Source organism: Homo sapiens, chromosome 3 (genome assembly GCF_000001405.40).
Source record: "Homo sapiens chromosome 3, GRCh38.p14 Primary Assembly".
Taxonomy (NCBI): domain Eukaryota; kingdom Metazoa; phylum Chordata; class Mammalia; order Primates; family Hominidae; genus Homo; species Homo sapiens.
In genome coordinates, this window is record NC_000003.12 from 138,817,256 (window position 1) to 138,835,620 (window position 18,365).

General features: G+C 46.2%; 1 protein-coding gene and 1 pseudogene across 13 annotated transcripts in view, besides 1 other annotated feature; one reads left to right on the forward strand and one right to left on the reverse strand.

Annotated features, from left to right (window-relative positions):
- Positions 1-17,673, reverse strand: part of PIK3CB (phosphatidylinositol-4,5-bisphosphate 3-kinase catalytic subunit beta) — a 182,231-nt gene extending 164,558 nt beyond the window's left edge. For 9 of the 13 annotated variants that reach the window (NM_001437290.1, NM_001437286.1, NM_001437289.1 and 6 more), the window contains exon 1: positions 17,440-17,673. The gene's annotated coding sequence lies outside the window, so the exon portion shown is untranslated. Of the gene's footprint in view, positions 1-17,054 lie in introns of all 13 variants that reach the window. The other 4 variants (NM_001437291.1, NM_001437288.1, XM_047448309.1 and 1 more) reach the window with 3 other exon arrangements.
- EEF1A1P25 (eukaryotic translation elongation factor 1 alpha 1 pseudogene 25) lies at positions 7,785-9,255 on the forward strand (annotated as a pseudogene).
- Positions 17,170-17,909: a silencer, noted in NCBI's record as "silent region_14766". NCBI's record gives its function as "represses an Ori minimal core promoter by ATAC-STARR-seq in GM12878 lymphoblastoid cells {active_cell/tissue: GM12878}" and the evidence as "EXISTENCE:reporter gene assay evidence [ECO:0000049][PMID:35858748]".

An 18,365-nucleotide genomic window follows, 5' to 3' on the forward strand; every position in this document is an offset into this window, starting at 1 on the left:
TGAACCCCGGGGGGCGGAGCCTGCAGTGAGCCGAGATCGTGCCACTGCACTCCAGCCTGGGCGACAGCGAGACTCCATCTCAAAAAACACAAAAACAAAAACAAAAAAAAATTAGCCGGGCCTGGTGGCGCATGCCTGTAATCCCAGCTACTTGGGAGGCTGAGGCAGGAGAATCACTGCAACCAAGGAGACAGAGGTTGTGGTGAGCTGAGATCATGCCATTGCACTCTAGCCTGGGCAACAAGAGTGAAACTCTATCTCAAAAAAAAAGTAGAATAATTAAAATATGCTGGTAGAGAAGAGCATTAATTAATTAATCCTTGCAGGCACCCCTAAAACTACTGAGCCAAAATACACAACCAGGTAAAGAGTCAATGCAGCAACATAAAATGTAGATGCTAGTAGGCTGATGGCCCAATTCAAACCTTGATGCTAGGGGAACTCACAAGTAAAACTCAATACTTTATATAAATAAAGCACTGGGCCAGAATGTATAGGAAGTAAAAGGTATACGATCTAGAAGGGGAGACAGGTACACCAACACAAAAAACTATTAGCTAGGCACAGTGGCTTGTGCCTCCCGAGTCACCAGAGGCTGAAGTGGGAGGAGCAAGTACTTGAGCCCTGGAGTTTGAGGCTGCAGTGAGCTATGACTGCACCACTGCACTCCAGCCTTGGCAACAGAATGAGATCCCATCTCTAATAAGGAAAACAAAAGCTATTAAATAATTGAGCTTAAGTCAAGATGGGGCTGGGCATGGTAGTACATGCTTGTAGTCCCAGCTACTCAGGAGGCTGAGGTGGGAGCTATCGATAGCTTGAGCCTAGGAGTTCAAGTCCAGCCTGGGTAACATAGTAAGACCCTGTCTCTATTTAAAATAATAGTCAAGATGGAAACTCATATTTAGTGATTCAGTTTGACCAGAGAATAAAATCATGGAGGTCCTGACTTCATGACTCCCTATTATTCACTGCCTCCAGCCTGCACACAGCCATGCAGCCATCTCCATCCTGGAATTCTCTCGCTCAAAACCCAATATGCTCCTAAATGTCTAAAATCTAACTCCTCTGCCTGGCAGTCAGGCAGAAACAAAGAACTGTGTCATCAAGTTCTGGCTCTAGCTCATTTATTCACTGTGTGACCTTGGGAAAGTTCCCCTAACTTCCTTTTTCTTATTTGTAAAACAAGATGGTTTAACTATATGCTCTTTAATGTCCATTTCAGCTATAAATTCCACTTGGTCAAGCAACTCTACAGCTCACAATGCCTCAGCTTTTGTTCCAGTCAAACAACTCTCCAAGATCCTTCCCACAGCCTACAAGGTGCTGCATGGACTCTACCTCTCTTTTTGGCTCATCTTACACCCTTATCCTACACACCTCTTGACCTCACTCTCTCCTCTCAGGCTAGAATGGCCTCCTTTTAGTTCCTCCAAAATGCCAGGCTCCCTCCTGCTAAAGAGCCTTCCCATGTGCTGGACTCAATGCTTCCTTTTTTAAAATAATAAATATTTCATAACATCCCTTTACCATTGGAAACAAAATGTATACATAATACAAACTAAACAAAACTTTAGTTACATATATGTATATGTTATATAGAGTCTTAACTGTAATATAAAGAGAAATAAAAGGAATATAACTTAGTACAAAATTATATATATGCTAATGGTAAATGCTCTGGTACGACTACATTATAAGTCATAAAAAGGTAGTCGAAGCTTAAACCTAAACTTAAAATTACTGAATATCACAGCTACAAAGGCAGACTGATGTGCACATATTGTCTTGGTGATTAAACATCACTACCGGGCCGGGCGCAGTGGCTCACGCCTGTAATCCCAGCACTTTGGGAGGCCAAGGTGGGTGGTTCACAAGGTCTGGAGATCGAGACCATCCTGGCTAACACGGTAAAACCCCGTCTCTACTAAAAATACAAAAACTAGCCAGGCGTGGTGGCACGTGCCTGTAGTCCCAGCTACTCAGGAGGCTGAGGCAAAAGAATCACTTGAACCCTGGAGGCGGAGATGGCAGTTAGCCGAGATTGCGCCATTGTCCTCCAGCCTGGGCGACAGAGTGAGACTCCGTCTCCAAAAAAAAAAAAAAATCACTACCAACATATGCCACTGGTGACATAAATTTTAAATTTTAGAAAGATAACTCTTGGTAAAGTTCTGAACAAACTAAAGCATAATCTCCTCTAGATTTCCAAAGAAGGTGAATTCTGGGAAAACTGAATATTAAAACCATGCCATTTTTATATTTTGTTTATGTGTAAAATGAAGTTAGGATTTAGGCAATGGTTTCAACCTGGGCTATACATTAGAATAAGAAGGACATTTTTAAACAATACTGATGCCGAGGTATCATCTCAAAGATTTTTATATAATTCGTATGAGGTACAGCCTCATCATCTTTTAAAAACTTCCTAAGTAGGCCAGGCATGGTGTGGCTCACACCTGTAATCCCAACGCTTTAGGAGGCCAAGGCGGGCAGATCATTTGAGGCCAGGAGTTTGAGACCAACCTGGAAAACATGGTGAAACCCCATTTTCACTAAAAATACAAAAATTAGCTGGGCATGGTCACAAGTGTCTGTAGTCTCGGGCTACTTGGGTGGCTGAGGCAGGAGAATCGCTTGAACCTCAGGCAGAAGCTGCAGTAAGCTGAGATTGTGCCACTGCACTCCAGCCTGAGCAACAGAGCGAGACTCTGTCTCGATCAATCAATCAATCAATAAAGCCTTCTCAAGTGATTTTGATGTGCAGCCAGAGTTGAGATCCACTGTTACGGACTAAAACAAATAGGTTTTCACCTATGTGAACTGAAAATTGATGATCTTACAGGACACAAAACAAATCTTTGCTTTGCAAGACTGTTGCACACTTTATATTACTAAGGCTAACATGACTGGCCTTTGCACACTAAATGCTAATATATCCCCCAATAATTGTACAAGCTAAAATCGTCCCCTGCTCTCATTCCTGAAACAGCCCCTAAACATCAGTCAACCCCAGATGAGAAACACTGACCTACATAATTCACCTTTCACATCTCAATTCAAACATCACCTCAGAATTTCCTGTTACAATATTATTACATTACTCATTAATAGGAATAAATGTAATAACAATGATAGTATTCCCCACATATTGTAACCACACCTTTGTGGTTTTTTAACCTAACTCATTTATGTGGTAAAATGATTCCACATCAGTACATAAACACTTTCTTCATTCTGTTTGTTTGTTTGTTTTGAGATGGAGTCTTGCTCTGCTGCCCAGGCTGGAGTGCAGTGGTGCAATTTCAGCTCACTGCAACCACTGCCTCCGGGGCTTAAGCAATTCTCCTGCCTCGGCCTCCCAAGTAGTTCAGATTACAAGTGCGCACCACCACACCTGGCTAATTTTTGTACTTTTATTAGAGACAGGGTTTCACCATGTTGGCCAGGCTAGTCTAGAACTACTGACTTCAGATGATCCACCCACCTCGGCCTCTCAGAATGCTGGGATTATAGGCATGAGCCACCGTGCCTGGTCCACTTTCTTCATTCTGTTAAATGGCTACAGAGCATTCAATCATAGGAACGTCCTATTTTTTTTAAAGTAATTCCCCTAGTGAAAAACATTTAAGTTACTTCAGGAATTTTGCCATTATAAACAATAATGCAACAAATAGCCTTCACCATACATGATTTTCCACACATGTGAGTATACCAATAGGATAATGCCTACAAAAAGAATTAATGGGGGCTGGGCACGGTGGCTCACGCCTGTAATCCCAGCACTTTGGGAGGCTGAGGCGGGCAGATCACGAGGTCAGGAAATCGAGACCATCTTGGCCAACATGGTGAAACCCCGTCTGTACTAAAAATATAAAAATTAGCTGGGCGTGGTGGTGCGTGCCTGTAATCCCAGCTACTCAGGAGGCTGAGGCAGGAGATCCCTTGAACCCGGGAGTCGGAAGTTGCAGTGTGCCGAGATTGTGCCACTGCACTCCAGCTTGGCGACAGAACGAGACTCCGTCTCAAAAAAAAAAACAAAAAACAAAAAAAAAATTAATGCTCAGGGCTGAGCAGGGTGGCTCATGCCTGTAATCCCAGCACTTTGGGAGGCTGCGGCGGGTGGCTCACCTGAGGTCAGGAGCCACTGGACCATCATGTACAAATTACAGAGATATTAGACAATACTTGTGAGCAAAATGAAGACCTAAAACCCAGAAGCTCCTCAGTTAGAAAAAATATTAATAGCCTGGGCATGGCGGCTCACGTCTGTAATCCCAGCACTCTGGGAGGCCGAGATGGGTGGATCACCTGAGGTCAGGAGGTCAAGACCAGCCAGACCAACATGGTAAAACCCCACCTCTACTAAAAACACAAAAATTAGCTGGGAGTGGTGGCAGGCACCTGTAATTCCAGCTACTTGGGAGGCTGACACAGAAGAATCGCTTGAACCTGGGAGGGAGAGGTTGCAGTGAGCCGAGATGGCGTCACTGCACTCCAGGTTGGGCAACAGAGTAAGACTCCATTTCAAAAAATAAAAATAAAAATAAAAAAAGGAAAAATATTAATAATGGAATGGTGAGTGAATGTGCACATCAAGAGTTAAGACAGCTTGGCCGGGTGCTTTGGTTCACACCTGTAATCCCAGCACTTTGGGAGGCTGAGGCTGGCAGATCACTCAAGCCCAGAAGTTTGAGACTAGCCTGAGCAACATGGCAAAATCTTTCTCCATGAAAAATACAACAAGTAGCCAGATGTGGTAGCACACACTTATAATCCCAGATACTGGGGAGGCTCGCTTGAGCTCAGGAGGTCCACACTGCAGAGAGCCAAGATGGTTCCACTGCACTCCAGCCTGGGTGACAGAGCAAGACCCTGTCTCCAGAAAAAAAAAAAGAATTCCAGTTGGCTATCCCCAGGAACTCTTGCTCAAAATTTAAGGGGAATGATAACTAGCTCATAAATATGGAACTTGACTTTTGAAAATATATAACTAGGCCGGGTATGGTGGCTCACGCCTATAATCCCAGCACTTTGGGAGGCCGAGGCAGGCAGATCACAAGGTCAGGAAGGGCAGATCAGGAGTTCGAGACCAGCCTGGCCAATACGGTGAAGCCCTGTCTCTACTAAAAAATACAAAAGTTAGCCGGGCATGGTGGCATGCACCTGTAGTTCCAGCTTCTCAGGAGGCTGAGGCAGGAGAACAGCTGGAACCTGGGAGGTTCAGCCAAGTTCACGACACTGTACTCCAGCCTGGGCGACACAGTGAGACCCCGTCTCAAAAATAAAAGAAAAAGAAAAAGAAAATACGTAACTGCAGCCAGGTACGGTGGCTCAACACTTTGGGAGGCTGAGGTGGGTGGATCACCTGAGGTCAGGAGTTCGAGACGAGCCTGGCCAACACGGTGAAACCCCATCTCTACTACAAATACAAAAATCAGCCAGGCGTGTGGCATGCGCCTATAATCCCAGCTACTTGGGAGGCTGAGGCAGGAGAATCGGCTTGAACTCAGGAGGCGGAGGCTGCAGTGAGCCGAGATCACGCCACTGCAAATATATATATATGAAATATATATACAAAATATATATACATGAAATATATATACGAAATATATATGAAATATATATATGAAATATTTATACATGAAATATATATATGAAATATACATGAAACATATATACGAAATATATATACATGAAATATATATATATATATTTGCAGTGGCGTGATCTCGGCTCACTGCAGCCTCCGCCTCCTGGGTTCAAGCCGATATTTATCACTGCAGAAAAACGTTTTAGTTAACAAACTACATTTTTTTTCAGATAACACAATGGCAACAATTTGTAATGGTTTATGAAGCTACAAGAAAACACTGACTTTAATAGAATCTAAATACAACACCTGCCCATGGTCCCAGCTACTCTGGAGCCTGAGGTGGGGGGATCGCTTGAGCCCAGGAGTTACAGGCCAGCTGGGCAACACAGCAAGTCCCCATCCCTAAAAAAATAAATAAATAAATACAAGGCCTATACTAAATCAAGAATAAACAATTTTAAGTGATCATATTTCAACTATTTAATGAAATATGAATAGTTATTGTATAACTATGAACACGTAACTTGTCAGATGTAGTAGTAGACTGGCTACAGAAAAAAAAAAAAGCAACGGTCGGGCAAGGTGGCTCACGCCTGAAATCCCAGCACTTTGGGAGGTAGAGGTGGGCAGATCACGAGGTCAGGAGATCGAGACCATCCTGGGCAACATGGTGAAACCTCGTCTCTACTAAAAATACAAAAATTAGCTGGGCGTGGTGGCGCATGCCTGTAATGCCAGCTACTCGGGAGGCTGAGGCAGGAGAATCACTTGAACCAGGGAGTCAGAGGTTGCAGTGAGCCGAGATGGCGCCACTGCACTCCAGCCTGGCGACAGAGCGAGGCTCTGTCTCAAAAAATAATAATGAAAAAATTTTTTTAAAATAAAAAAACTATCAGTAGGCTAACTTATTAAACAGTAAAGGAAAACTTCAAATCGGGTTATAATTCTGATCATCTGAAATACTGATTACTTAAATCACAAGAGCTCATTCATTTAAGCAAGTAAAGTACAAATGTATCAAAATGGAGTTTGAGCTCTTGTTGACAGTTACCAATGACTCAGCAGGTAAGGAATTCATGGAATTCAGGTCTTCATGGTCTAGAAAGCACTGTAGCTAAACCACCCAGTTAATACCAAATCATCTGCTGGTTATCTAACTCCTTCCATCTTTTCTCAACTTCACAACTGCCATTACTTCTAAGTGGCAGGAGAAGAAGATAAATTTGAAATCAGTAAATATTATAAATTAGTTATTAGAAATACAAGAAAAAACTGTGGTCAGGAATGTGGTTAAACTGTAGTTTAAAACAAAGCCTTTGGATTACCCATGGATTTAGTTTAATCCATATAATCCTCCCCCTGCAGGCATGGATAATCAGGATCGCATTTCCCTTGAGGGCAAATCAGCATTTGCCTGGTGGTCTCCTGAATGCCTGAAGCACCAGAAGACAAACTACAGGACCAGGGATGCTGTCCTTGGGTTTACACTGGGGAGAATTCTGAGCTGCAGACCTATCTCTAGCAATACTATAATATAGGAGATGACTGTTGAGATTCACATTCTTGATTCCAGCAGTAAGCCAGCTACTCCCAGTTAAAGGGTCAACCTCAGGTGATCTGCTAAATATCTGAGGAGCTATTAAAAGAAAATAAGGAGATATGGCCGGGCGCGGTGGCTCATCCCTGTAATCCCAACACTTTGGGAGGCCCAGGCAGGTGGACCCACCTGACGCTGGAGTTTGAGACCAGGAGAATCACTTGAACCCGGGAGGCGGAGGTTGCAGTGAGCCAAGATCACGCCATTGCACTCCAGCCTGGGCAACAAGAGCAAAACTCCACTTCGGAAAAAAAAGAAAAGAAATGAAGGAGATATACATTCTCGGGGAGAAGGGGGGTCACAAAAAGAAAGATCCTAGGCTGGGTGCCATGACTCACACCTGTAATCTCAGCTCTTTGGGAGGCCAAGCAGGCAAATCACCTGAGCTCAGGAGTTTGAGACCAGCCTGGGCAACATGGTGAAACACTGCCTCTACAAAATACCAAAAAAAAAAAAAAAAAAAAAAGTTAGCTGGGCATAATGGTGCATGCCTGTACTCCCAGCTACTTGGGAGGCTGGAAGGATCACTTGAACCTGGGGAGGTCAAGGCTGCAGTGGGCCACGATTGCACCACTGCACTCCAATCTGGGTGACAGAGTGAGACCCTGTCAAAAAAAAGATTTGAGAAGGCAGCTACAGAGATGGGAAAGGACTCCTTCAAGTATGCCTGGGTCTTGGATAAACTGAAAGCTGAGCATGAACATGGTATCACCATTGGTATCTCCCTATGAAAATATGAGAACAGCAAGTATTACGTGACCATCACTGATGCTCAAGAAGACAGAGACTTTATCAATAACATGATTATAGGGACATCTCAGGCTGACTGTGCTGTTCTGATTGTTGCTGCTGGTGTCGGAGAATTTAAAGCTGGTATCTCCAAAAATGGGCAGACCTGTCAGCATGCCCTTCTGGCTTATATGCTGAAGTGTGAAGCAACTAATTGGTGTTAACAAAATGGATTCCACTGAGCCACCCTACAGCCAATACAGATATGAGGAAATCATTAAGGAAGTCAGCACTTACATTAAGAAAATTGGCTACAACCCCGACACAGTAGCATTTGTGCCAACTTCTGGTGGGAACAGTGACAACATGCTGAAGCCAAGTGATAACATGCCTTGGTTCATGGGATAGAAAGTCACCCATAAAGATGGCAATGCCAGGGGAACCATGCTACTCGAAGCTCTGGACTGCATCCTACCACTAACTCATCCAACTGACAAACCCTTGCATCTGTCTCTCCAGGATGTCTACAAAACTGGTGATATTGGTACTGTGCCTATAGGCCAAGTGGAGACTGGTGTTCTCAAACCCGGAATGGTGGTCACCTTTGCTCCAGTCAATGTTACAACTGAAGCAGTCTGTTGAAATGCACCATGAAGCTTTGGGTGAAGCTCTTCCTGCAGACAATGTGGACTTCAATGTCAAGAATGTGTCTGTCAAAGATGTTCATCACGGCAACGTTGCTGGTGACAGCAAAAATGACCCACCAATGGAAGCAGCTGGCTTCACTGCTCAAGTGATTATCCTGAACCATTCAGGCCAAATCAGTGCTGGCTATGCCACTGTACTGGATTGTCACACAGCTTACACAGCTTGCAAGTTTGCTGACCTGAAGGAAAAAGATTGATCACCATTCTAGTAAGAAGCTGGAAGATGGCCCTAAATTCTTGAAGTCTGGTGGTGCTGCCATAGTTGATATGGTTCCTGACAAGCCGATGTATGTTGAGAGCTTCTAGGACTATCCTCCTCTGGGTCATTTTGCTGCTCGTGATATGAAACAGAGTTGCCGTGGGTGTCATCAAAGCAGTGGACAAGAAGGCTGCTGGAGCTGGCAAGGTCACCAAGTCTGCCCAGAAAGCTCAGAAGGCTAAATGAATATTATCCCTAATACCTGCCACCTGAGTCTTAATCAGTGGTGGAAGAATAGCCTCAGAAATGTTTGTTTCAATCAGCCATTTAGGTTTAATAGTAAATGACTGGTTAATGATAACAATGCACTGTAAACCCCTCAGAAGAAAAGGAGAATGTGTTATGGACCATTTGGGTTTTTTTTTTTTTTTTTTTTTTGGCATGTGGCAGTTTTAAATTATTAACTTTTAAAATCAGTAGTTTTTAATGGAAACAACTGGACCAAAAATCGGTCACAGAATTTTGAGACCCATCAAAACAAAGTTTAATGAGAAAAAAAAAAAAGATATGGTAACTCTAAACCAAATAGTTCAGAGCATACATACACATACATTCTTACAACACATACACTCTCTCACACACGTGTGCAATGGGAGGGTCTCAGATTCAAAAACTAAGTTGTCTAATTAAACTAAAAATTCCTGGCCAGGCGCAGTGGCTTATGCCTGTAATCCCAGCACTTTGGGAGGCCAAGGCAGGCGGATCGCCTGAGGTCAGGAGTTCGAGACCAGCCTGACTAACATGGTAAAAACCCCGTCTCTACTAAAAATACAAAATTAGCTGGGCGTGGTTGTGGGCACCTGTAATCCCAGCTACTCGGGAGGCTGAGGCAGGAGAATTGCTTGAACCCAGCAGGCAGAGGTTGCAGTGAACCGAGATTGCACCATTGCACTCCAGCCTGGGCAACAAGAGCAAAACTCGGTCAATAAATAAATAAATAAATAAATATTCCTGATCTCTAAAAATACTAAATACGATTGAATACAGGATCAAACTACCACATCCTAAAACCAGTCCCCTTCAGTCAAGACCAAAATTCAAGGCCTCAAAAGGACAAAACAAGGTGGTTTTGTTTGGTTCCTTATTTTCAAAAAGACTAATGATTCAGGACGCAGTGAACAAAATTCACACTCGTTTTTGTCATTAATTGCTTAATGTCTAAAGGCTTGGTCTTTTCAGGGGTAGAGCACCTTAACGAAGATTGAGAGAGTTAAGAACGCCTAATAGAAGGCTGGGTTCAGTGGCTCTAGCCTGTAATCAGAGCACTTTGGGAGGCCAAGGCAGGAAGATGGCTTGAGGCCAAGAGCATGAGACCCAGCCTGGGCAACATAGCAAGAGCCTGTGTCTTCTACCTAAGAAATTTTTTTTTTTTTTAGTTAGCCAGGCAGGCATGATGGTATATGCCTATAGTACTATTAATAACCACTTAGGAGGCCGGTGCAGGAGGATCACTTGAGCACAGCAGTTCGAGGTTACGGTGAGCTACGATTGTGCCCCTGCACTCCAGCCTGGGTGACAGAACCAGACCTGGTCTCTTCAAAAACAAAACAAAAAGGCCGGGCCCGGGGGCTCACACCTGTAATCCCAGGACTTTGGGAGGCCGAGGCGGGCGGATCACAAGGTCAGGAAATCGAGACTATCCTGGCTAACACGGTGAAACCCTGTCTCTACTAAAAAAATACAAAAAAAAAAAAAATTAGCCGGGCGTGGTGGGGGCGCCTGTAATCCCAGCCACTCAGGAGGCTGAAGCAGGAAAATGGCGTGAACCTGGGAGGCGGAGCTTGAAGTAAACTGAGATCGCGCCACTGCACTCCAACCTGGGTGACAGAGCGAGACTCCGTCTCAAAAAAAACAAAACAAAACAAAAAAAGGTACCTGATAGAATAATAACTCTAGGGTCTCTGGTTACTGTCTAATTTGCCCAAATCCGGAACCAAAAAAAGGGGGAAGTGTGTTCAGGATATACATTGTACATTCAATCAAAAGATTTTAGAACTAATTTCATTCCTACATTTATTCATTCAACAGTAATTAAATTTCCTTTTTTTTTTTTTTTTTTTGAGATGGAGTCTCGCTCTATCGCCCAGGCTGGAGTGCAATGGCGCGATCTCGGCTCACTGCAAGCTCCGCCTCCCGGGTTGACGCCATTCTCTTGCCTCAGCCTCCCGAGTAGCTGGGATTACAGGCGCCCGCCACCACGCCCGGCTAATTTTTTGTATTTTTAGTAGAGACGGGTTTTCACGGTGTTAGCCAGGATGGTCTCGATCTCCTGACCTTGTGATCCGCCCGTCTCGGCCTCCCAAAATGCTGGGATTACAGGCGTAAACCACAGCGCCCAGCCCCATTAGTTAAATTTTCCAGGCATTGTTCTGGTTCCTGAAAATACTCCAGGGAAGACAAGGTCCCTGCCATCATGAAGCTTATATTATATTGGAGGAAAAAGACCATAAATAAATGAACAATAAAATAAGCAAGCTGGGAGAGGTGAAATGTGCCTAAAGCTACTGGGGAGACTGAGGCAGGAGGATCACTTGAGACCAGGAGTTCAAGGCTGTAGTGCCCTATAATACTACCTGTGAATGCCCACTGGACTCCAGCTTAGGCAGCATAAGGAGACCCCGCCTCTAAAAAAATTTTATCTTTTATTTTTTATTTTTTTTCTGAGACGGAGTTTCACTCTTGTTGCCCAAGCTGGAGTGCAATGGTGCACCTTGGCTCACTGCAACCTCCGCCTCCCAGGTTCAACCGATTCTCCTGCTTCAGCCTCCAGAATAGCTGGGATTACAGGCGCATGCCACCACACCAGGCTAATTTTTTTTTTTTTTTTTTTGTATTTTTAGTAGAGATGGGGTTTTGCCATGTTGGCCAGGCTGGTCTCGAACTCCTGACCTCAGGTGATCCGCCCACCTCAGCCTCCCAAAGTTCTGGGATTACAAGCGTGAGCCTCCGTGTCCGGCCAAATTTTTTTATTTTATTTATTTTTTAGCACTCAAACAGATTATGACAGATAAAGGAAAATTTAATAAAAATAAATAAAGGCTGAGATGGGTGGATTGCTTCAGCCTAGGAATTCAAGACCCCTGAGCAACATAGCAAGATCCCATCTCTATTTTAAAAATAAAATAAAATAAAAATAAACAATTCGCTGACATGCAGATAAAGTTTGGATTTACTTCTTAGTGTAATGAGAATCCACTGGAACAGGAGAATAAGTAAAAATCACTCCGACTGCTGTGTGAAAAATAGAGTAAGAACAGAGGCAAGGAGACCAGTTAGGAAGGTACTACCCAGGAAGAACTGGGGTAGTGGAAATGAAAATAAACATATGTGGGATATATTTTGGAGATAAAATTTAGAGTGTGCTCAAGGATTGGCTGAGCGTACAGTGAGGGAGGATGAGACAAAGGGATAAATTAAACATAACCACTAGATTTTACACTCAAACAGGATGGTGAGTGGGGCAGCGGGGTGCTACGACATGAAAACTGCTAGGGTTAGCCGGGCGTGGTGGCGTGCGCCTATAATCCCAGCTACTTCGGAGGCTAAAACAGGAGAATCGCTTGAACCCAGGAGGCGGAGGTTGCAGTGAGCCGAGATTGCGCCACTGTACTCCAGCCTGGGCAACAAGAGCGAAACTCCATCTCAAAAAAGAAGAAAGAAAACTGCTAGGGAAGGAATAAGAATGGGAATTAAGAGATCCATGCGAACCCATTACATTGAAAGACGCCTAAAAACAGACGAAATGAAGGTGTCATGTAGGCAGGCAGAAGACTGAAGTTCAGGACTGGAGATAAAAATCTTGAGAGGCAACAGCAGTTGACAACAATTTACTTATTTTTAGTTTCTCTACTAAAAATAAATAAATAAACCACAGGACAGGACAACATGAGATCATTCAGAAAGAATACAGGTAGAGAAAGGAATAGGGACAGGCCGGAAGCCCTGGGGCATTAGAATGTTTTGAACTCAACAAGAGAAGGAAAAGTCAAAGAGAGTGAAGAGGAGGAAAGCCATAAAACTCGAATATCCTAGAAGGTTCCTTTACATAATGTGATTTTCTAGTACACCACCACAACCACCCCCTGCCCACCACGGTAAGCCAAATTCTATAAATAAAAAAAGGGGCCCAGGCGCGGTGGCTCACCTCTGTAATCCCAGCACTTTGGAAGGACGAGGTGGGCGGATCACCTGAGGTTAGGAGTTCTAGACCAGTCTGGCCAATATGGTGAAACCCTGTCTCTACTAAAAATACAAAAAAACTAGCCAGGCGTGGTAGCGCACGCCTTGTAATCCCAGCTACTCGGGAGGCTGAGGCAGGATAATTCCTTGAACCCGGGAGGCGGAGGTTGCAGCGAGCCAAGATGGCGCCACCGCACTCCAGCCTGAACGGCAGAGCACGACTCCGTCTCAAACAAAACAAAACAAAACAAAAAATCAAAAGGAACAAGTCCAAGAGAATACACAAATAATAAAGCAGGGGCCGGAGTGGATGACGCCTGTAATCCCAGCACTTTGGGAGGCCGAGATGGGCGGATCACGAGGTCAGGAGATCGAGACCATCCTGGTGAACACGGTGAAACCCTGTCTCTACTAAAAACACACAAAAAAATTAGCCGGGCGTGTTGGCTGGCGCCTGTAGTCCCAGCTACTTGGGAGGCTGAGGCAGGAGAATGGCGTGAACCCGGGAGGCGGAGCTTGCGGTAAGCCGAGATCGCACCACTGCACTCTAGCCTGGGCAACAGAGCGAAACTCCGTCTCAAAATAATAATAATAATAATAATAATAATAATAATAATAATAATAATAATAAAGCAGGAACTCACTTTCCTCAGTTAAGTATTTTATTTATTTATTGGGGGCAAGGCGCGGTGGCTCCCGCCTGGAGTCCCAGCACTTTGGGAGGCCAAGGCGGGCGGATCACGAGGTCAGGAGATCAAGACCGCCCTGACTAACACGGTGAAACCCCGTCTCTACTAAAAAAAAAATACAAAAAATTAGCCAGGCGTGGTGGCGGGCACCTATGGTCCCAGCTACTGGGGAGGCTGAGACAGGAGAACGGCGTGAACCCAGGAGGTGTGAACTCCAGGCTGGGCAACAGAGTGAGACTCCGTCTCAAATAAATAAAATAAAATAAAATAAAATTAAATTAAATTAAAATTAAAAATAGTGCTAGGCGCAGTGGCTCACGCCTGTAATCCCAGCACTTTGGGAGGCCGAGGCGGCCAGATCACCTGAGGTCAGGAGTTCAAGACCAGCCTGGCCAACATGGAGAAACCCCTAAAAATACAAAAAATTAGCTGGGCGTGGTGGCGGGTGCCTGTAATCCCAGCTACTTGGGAGGCTGAGGCAGAAGAATTGTTTGAACCGGGGAGGCGGAGGTTGCAGTGAGCCAAGATTGCACATTGCACTCCAGCCTGGGCAACAAGGGCAAAACTCAGTCTCTAAATAAGTAAATAAATAAAAACAAAATAAAAAATAAAAATAAATAATTTATTTATTGGGGCCAGGCACAGTGGCTGACGCCTGTAATCCCAGCACTTTGGGAGGCCAAGGCGGGAGGAACACGAGGTCAAAAGACTGAGACCATCCTGGCCAATATGGTGAAACCCCATGTTTACTAAAAATACAAAAATTAGCGGGGCATGGTGGTGTGCACCTGTAGTCCCAACTAATTTGGAGGCTGAGGCAGGAGAATCGCTTGAACCCGGGAGGTCACAGTGAGCAGAGATCGTGCCATTGCACTCCAGCCTGGCGACAGAGAGAGACTCCATCTCAAAACAAACAAACAAACAAAACAGAGGCCCATAAGACTGGGTAACATCCCCATAGCCCCAGCTGTTTTTACCCAGGTTGAGGCCTAAAACCAAGAGGTGACTTCTGACTCCCAGCCTTTTCACAGTGGCTAGCAGTAGTTCTACTGTTGAGTTCAACAGTCTAAGCTAGACAACTGGGAAAACCTCAAGAAAGAACATAATTTAGACTACAGTGTTCATTTTTCACTTTTTTCCATATAGTTGGCTGACATTCACAAAGCAAGTTGAAGCAAAAGCCTTTATGGATGAGTCTTTAAGAACACCAAGAAAGATAGGCAAGAGGTGCAAAATGACAAATCAAAACCCGACTTGATTTTCAACACTTCTAAAAAACACTCCGAAGGTGGTGGACTCAGGGTGTGAATCAGGGGTGTAAATTAGATTTTTGCTTCTTAAGTCATTTTGGCTTTAGTGAATACAATTCCAGTTTAAACCTTTAAGATTTTTACTTTCGGCCGGTCGCGGTGGTTCATGCCTGTAATCCCAGCATTTTGGGAGGCCCAGGCTGGCGGATCATTTGAGCCCAGGAGATCAAGACCAGCCTGGCCAACATGGCAAAACCACCTCTCTACCAAAAATACAAAGATTGGGCCGGGCGCGGTGGCTTCCTCCTGTAATCCCAGCAGTTTGGGAGGCCGAGGCGGGCGGATACCTGAGGTTGGGAGTCCGAGACCACCCTGACCAACATGGAGAAACCCCGTCTCTACCAAAAAAAGTACAAAATTAGCCGCGTGTGGTGGCACATGCCTGTAATCCCAACTACTCGGGAGGCTATGGCAGGAGAATCGCTTGAACCCGGGAGGCGGAGGTTGCGGTGAGCTGGAGATCGCGTCATTGCACTCCAGCCTGGACAACAAAAGCGAAACTCCGTCTCAAAAAAAAAAAAAAAAAAACAAAATTGAAAGATTGGCCAGGCGTGGTGGCACGCCCCTGTAGTCTCAGCCACTAGGGAGCCTGAGGCAGGAGGATCGCTTGAACCCAGGAGGCGGAGGTTGCAGTGAGCCAAGATGGCGACATTGCACTCCAGCCTGGGCGACAGACCGAGACCCTGCCTCAAAAAACAACAATAATTTTTTTTTAAAAAAGAAGCAAGATTCGGTCTCAAAAAGATTTTTTTTTTTTCTTTTTGAGACAGGGTATCCCTCTGTTGCCCAGGCTGGAGTCCAGTGGTGCCATCTCGGCTCACTGCAACCTCCGCCTCCCGGGTTCAAGGGATTCTCCTGCCTCAGCCTCCCAAGTAGCTGGGATTACAAGCGCCCGCCACCACGCCCTGCTAATTTTTGTGTTTTTGGTAGAGACGGGGTTTCACCATGTTGCTTGGGCTGGTGTCGAACTCCTGGAATCAATTGATCCGCCCGCCTCGGCCTCCCAAAGTGCTGGGATTACAGGCGTGAGCCAACGCACCTGGTCAGAAAAAAGACTTTACTTTCTTCCATACCTGCATTCTGAAACTGGGTTAAGATCCTTATCTGACCACCCTTTCCTGTGCTACATTATTATGACTTAAACAGTTCTGCTTTTACCATAAAATCTTACAATGTAGCATAAAAATCCCCAAATGATTAATGAACTGCTGAGACCTCTGACTCGTTGGAGACAATTTTATTACGAATCATATCTCCAAACTTCCATTCAGTGCTTCAAAATAAGTACTCATTTAATTATCATGACTTCACCAGACAGTCACACTGCCCACAATGATGTTTACAAAAGCACTTGTCACTCCCTTTGGATGTAGCAATGCAGAAAAAAGAGTCTGTTTCCATACTCTTCGTGTGTTTATAACTCTGTAACAAGTGGCAGAGTTCAAGTGTCACTTGAGATGAAACAGCAAAGCACTTCAAGTTTACGTCCCACCATCTTTCATCCTAAGCGAATCCCGAATTTGCTCGGTTTCATTTCAGCAGTAATTCCCACTCAGTACCTGAGACAGGGTTCCAATTCAGCCCTGCGGGAAGAGACTGCAGGATTCTAGTAAGGGACTATAGGATTCTATTTTGGCCACTGCGAGGTTAACAGGCTCCAATATTAAGCAACTCCAGTATCGGTTACTGCAACACCAGAGCAGATCGGAAATAAATGTGCCCCCAAACGCACGCCAGCAGCCAGGAATTAGCAATAGCTAACACGAGATGCTGCAGCAGGGGTATCATTTACTTAGCACTTGTTCAGTTATGCCTAACCTCACAACAACCTTATGGTGTATGTATTATTATTTCCATTTAACACATCAGGATATTTTGGCCCAAGGCCCCAGGACTGGTCAGCAGCGGCGTTGGGATTCGAAAACATGTCCATAACCTAATAACCCTGGGTCCACGCCTCTGAAATACACTTCTGCGCAAAAAGGCACCTGAGGGTCGGGAAGTTCCGGAGGTGTCCGCATAGACGCGGGGCGCGAGTACGCCGTCTCTCCACAGAAACGCCCCTCAGGAACGGGACCCAAAGCGACAGTGACCCGGGACGCCCGGCAGCGTCTCTGCCGCCCAGGGGCCGGGGGGCGCCACTCACCTTGGAGAGCCCAGGGCGGGCCGCAACCAAGCCAGACGCCCCCACCGGCCGGTAGGCGGTTATCCTCCAAGCTGGCAGGAAGCGCGGTGCAACCACAAGAGTCGCCAGCGCCGCAGGTAGCGGCAAGCTAGAACGCACCGCCAGCACGCCCGGGGGCACCGCAGCCGGCGCCGCGACCCAGCCGCCCCTCAGCCGCGCCGCATCCGGGTCCCGGCCGCCGCACTCACCTGCCTGGCGTTCCGCCGCCGCCGCCTGCTACTATTCCAAGTGCGCAGTCAGCAGCCCAGGCCGCCGCAACCGCTCCACTCCGGCGCCCCCATCCCTGCCTCTCTCGATCACCTCCCGCCTGCCCCGCGCAGCACTACACTCGCCCCCTCCCCACTGCCATGGCCCGCTCCGCCGCAGCGCCGCACAGGCCGACAGAGCACGCGCGCGCCGCCGCCGAACCCGCGCCCGTGTGCGCGCGCGCCAGCCTCTCAGGCCTGCATCCCAGCAGCCCCCGCCCCGCCCTGCGCCGCCCTCGGGCCAATCCCGGGCCCCGCGGTGGCGGCGGCGGCGGCGGCGGCAGTTGGGCTGGCAGGGTGTGGGGAGAGGCCTCACTGCCGATTCCTCTACCGTTGCCAGCCCGGCTGCGACGCTGCTGCACGGCCTTTCCTAACTCTCTTTGCGACTCCCAGAGGACTGCGGAATAGGGAATCCCCGGCAAGTCGCCTTCAGGAGAGACCCATCACCCGCTGCGGCCTCCATAACCTCCTCCCGAGAGATTCCGCTCTTCCTAGGTTCCTTGCTGGCCTTTTCTTCCCAGCCCTTCTCCCTGTTCTGCGACATGGACTGACTCCTAAATTCTTGGACGCAGCACTTATTTTTTTCCCGATACCCGTCTCCGTCTTTCACTCCCTTTGTGAGGATAGGGCGCTAGCTCGGCTGCCTCACAGCTGGCCCTTCAGTCCCTACACTGTGAATGGTTGTTTCTAGGGAAAAGTCCAGGCTTTCAAGCCCAAGATTCTTGTTCTTTGTTCAATTTTGCAGTAACAACACCTAACATTTGTCTGCAGAGCCTTAAACTTTACCCCTTTTTGCCTACCTTGTTTCCTGTTACCTTTGACCCCAACCGCGAAAAATCACAGTCCTCTTTCTAGTGGGACACTTAAAT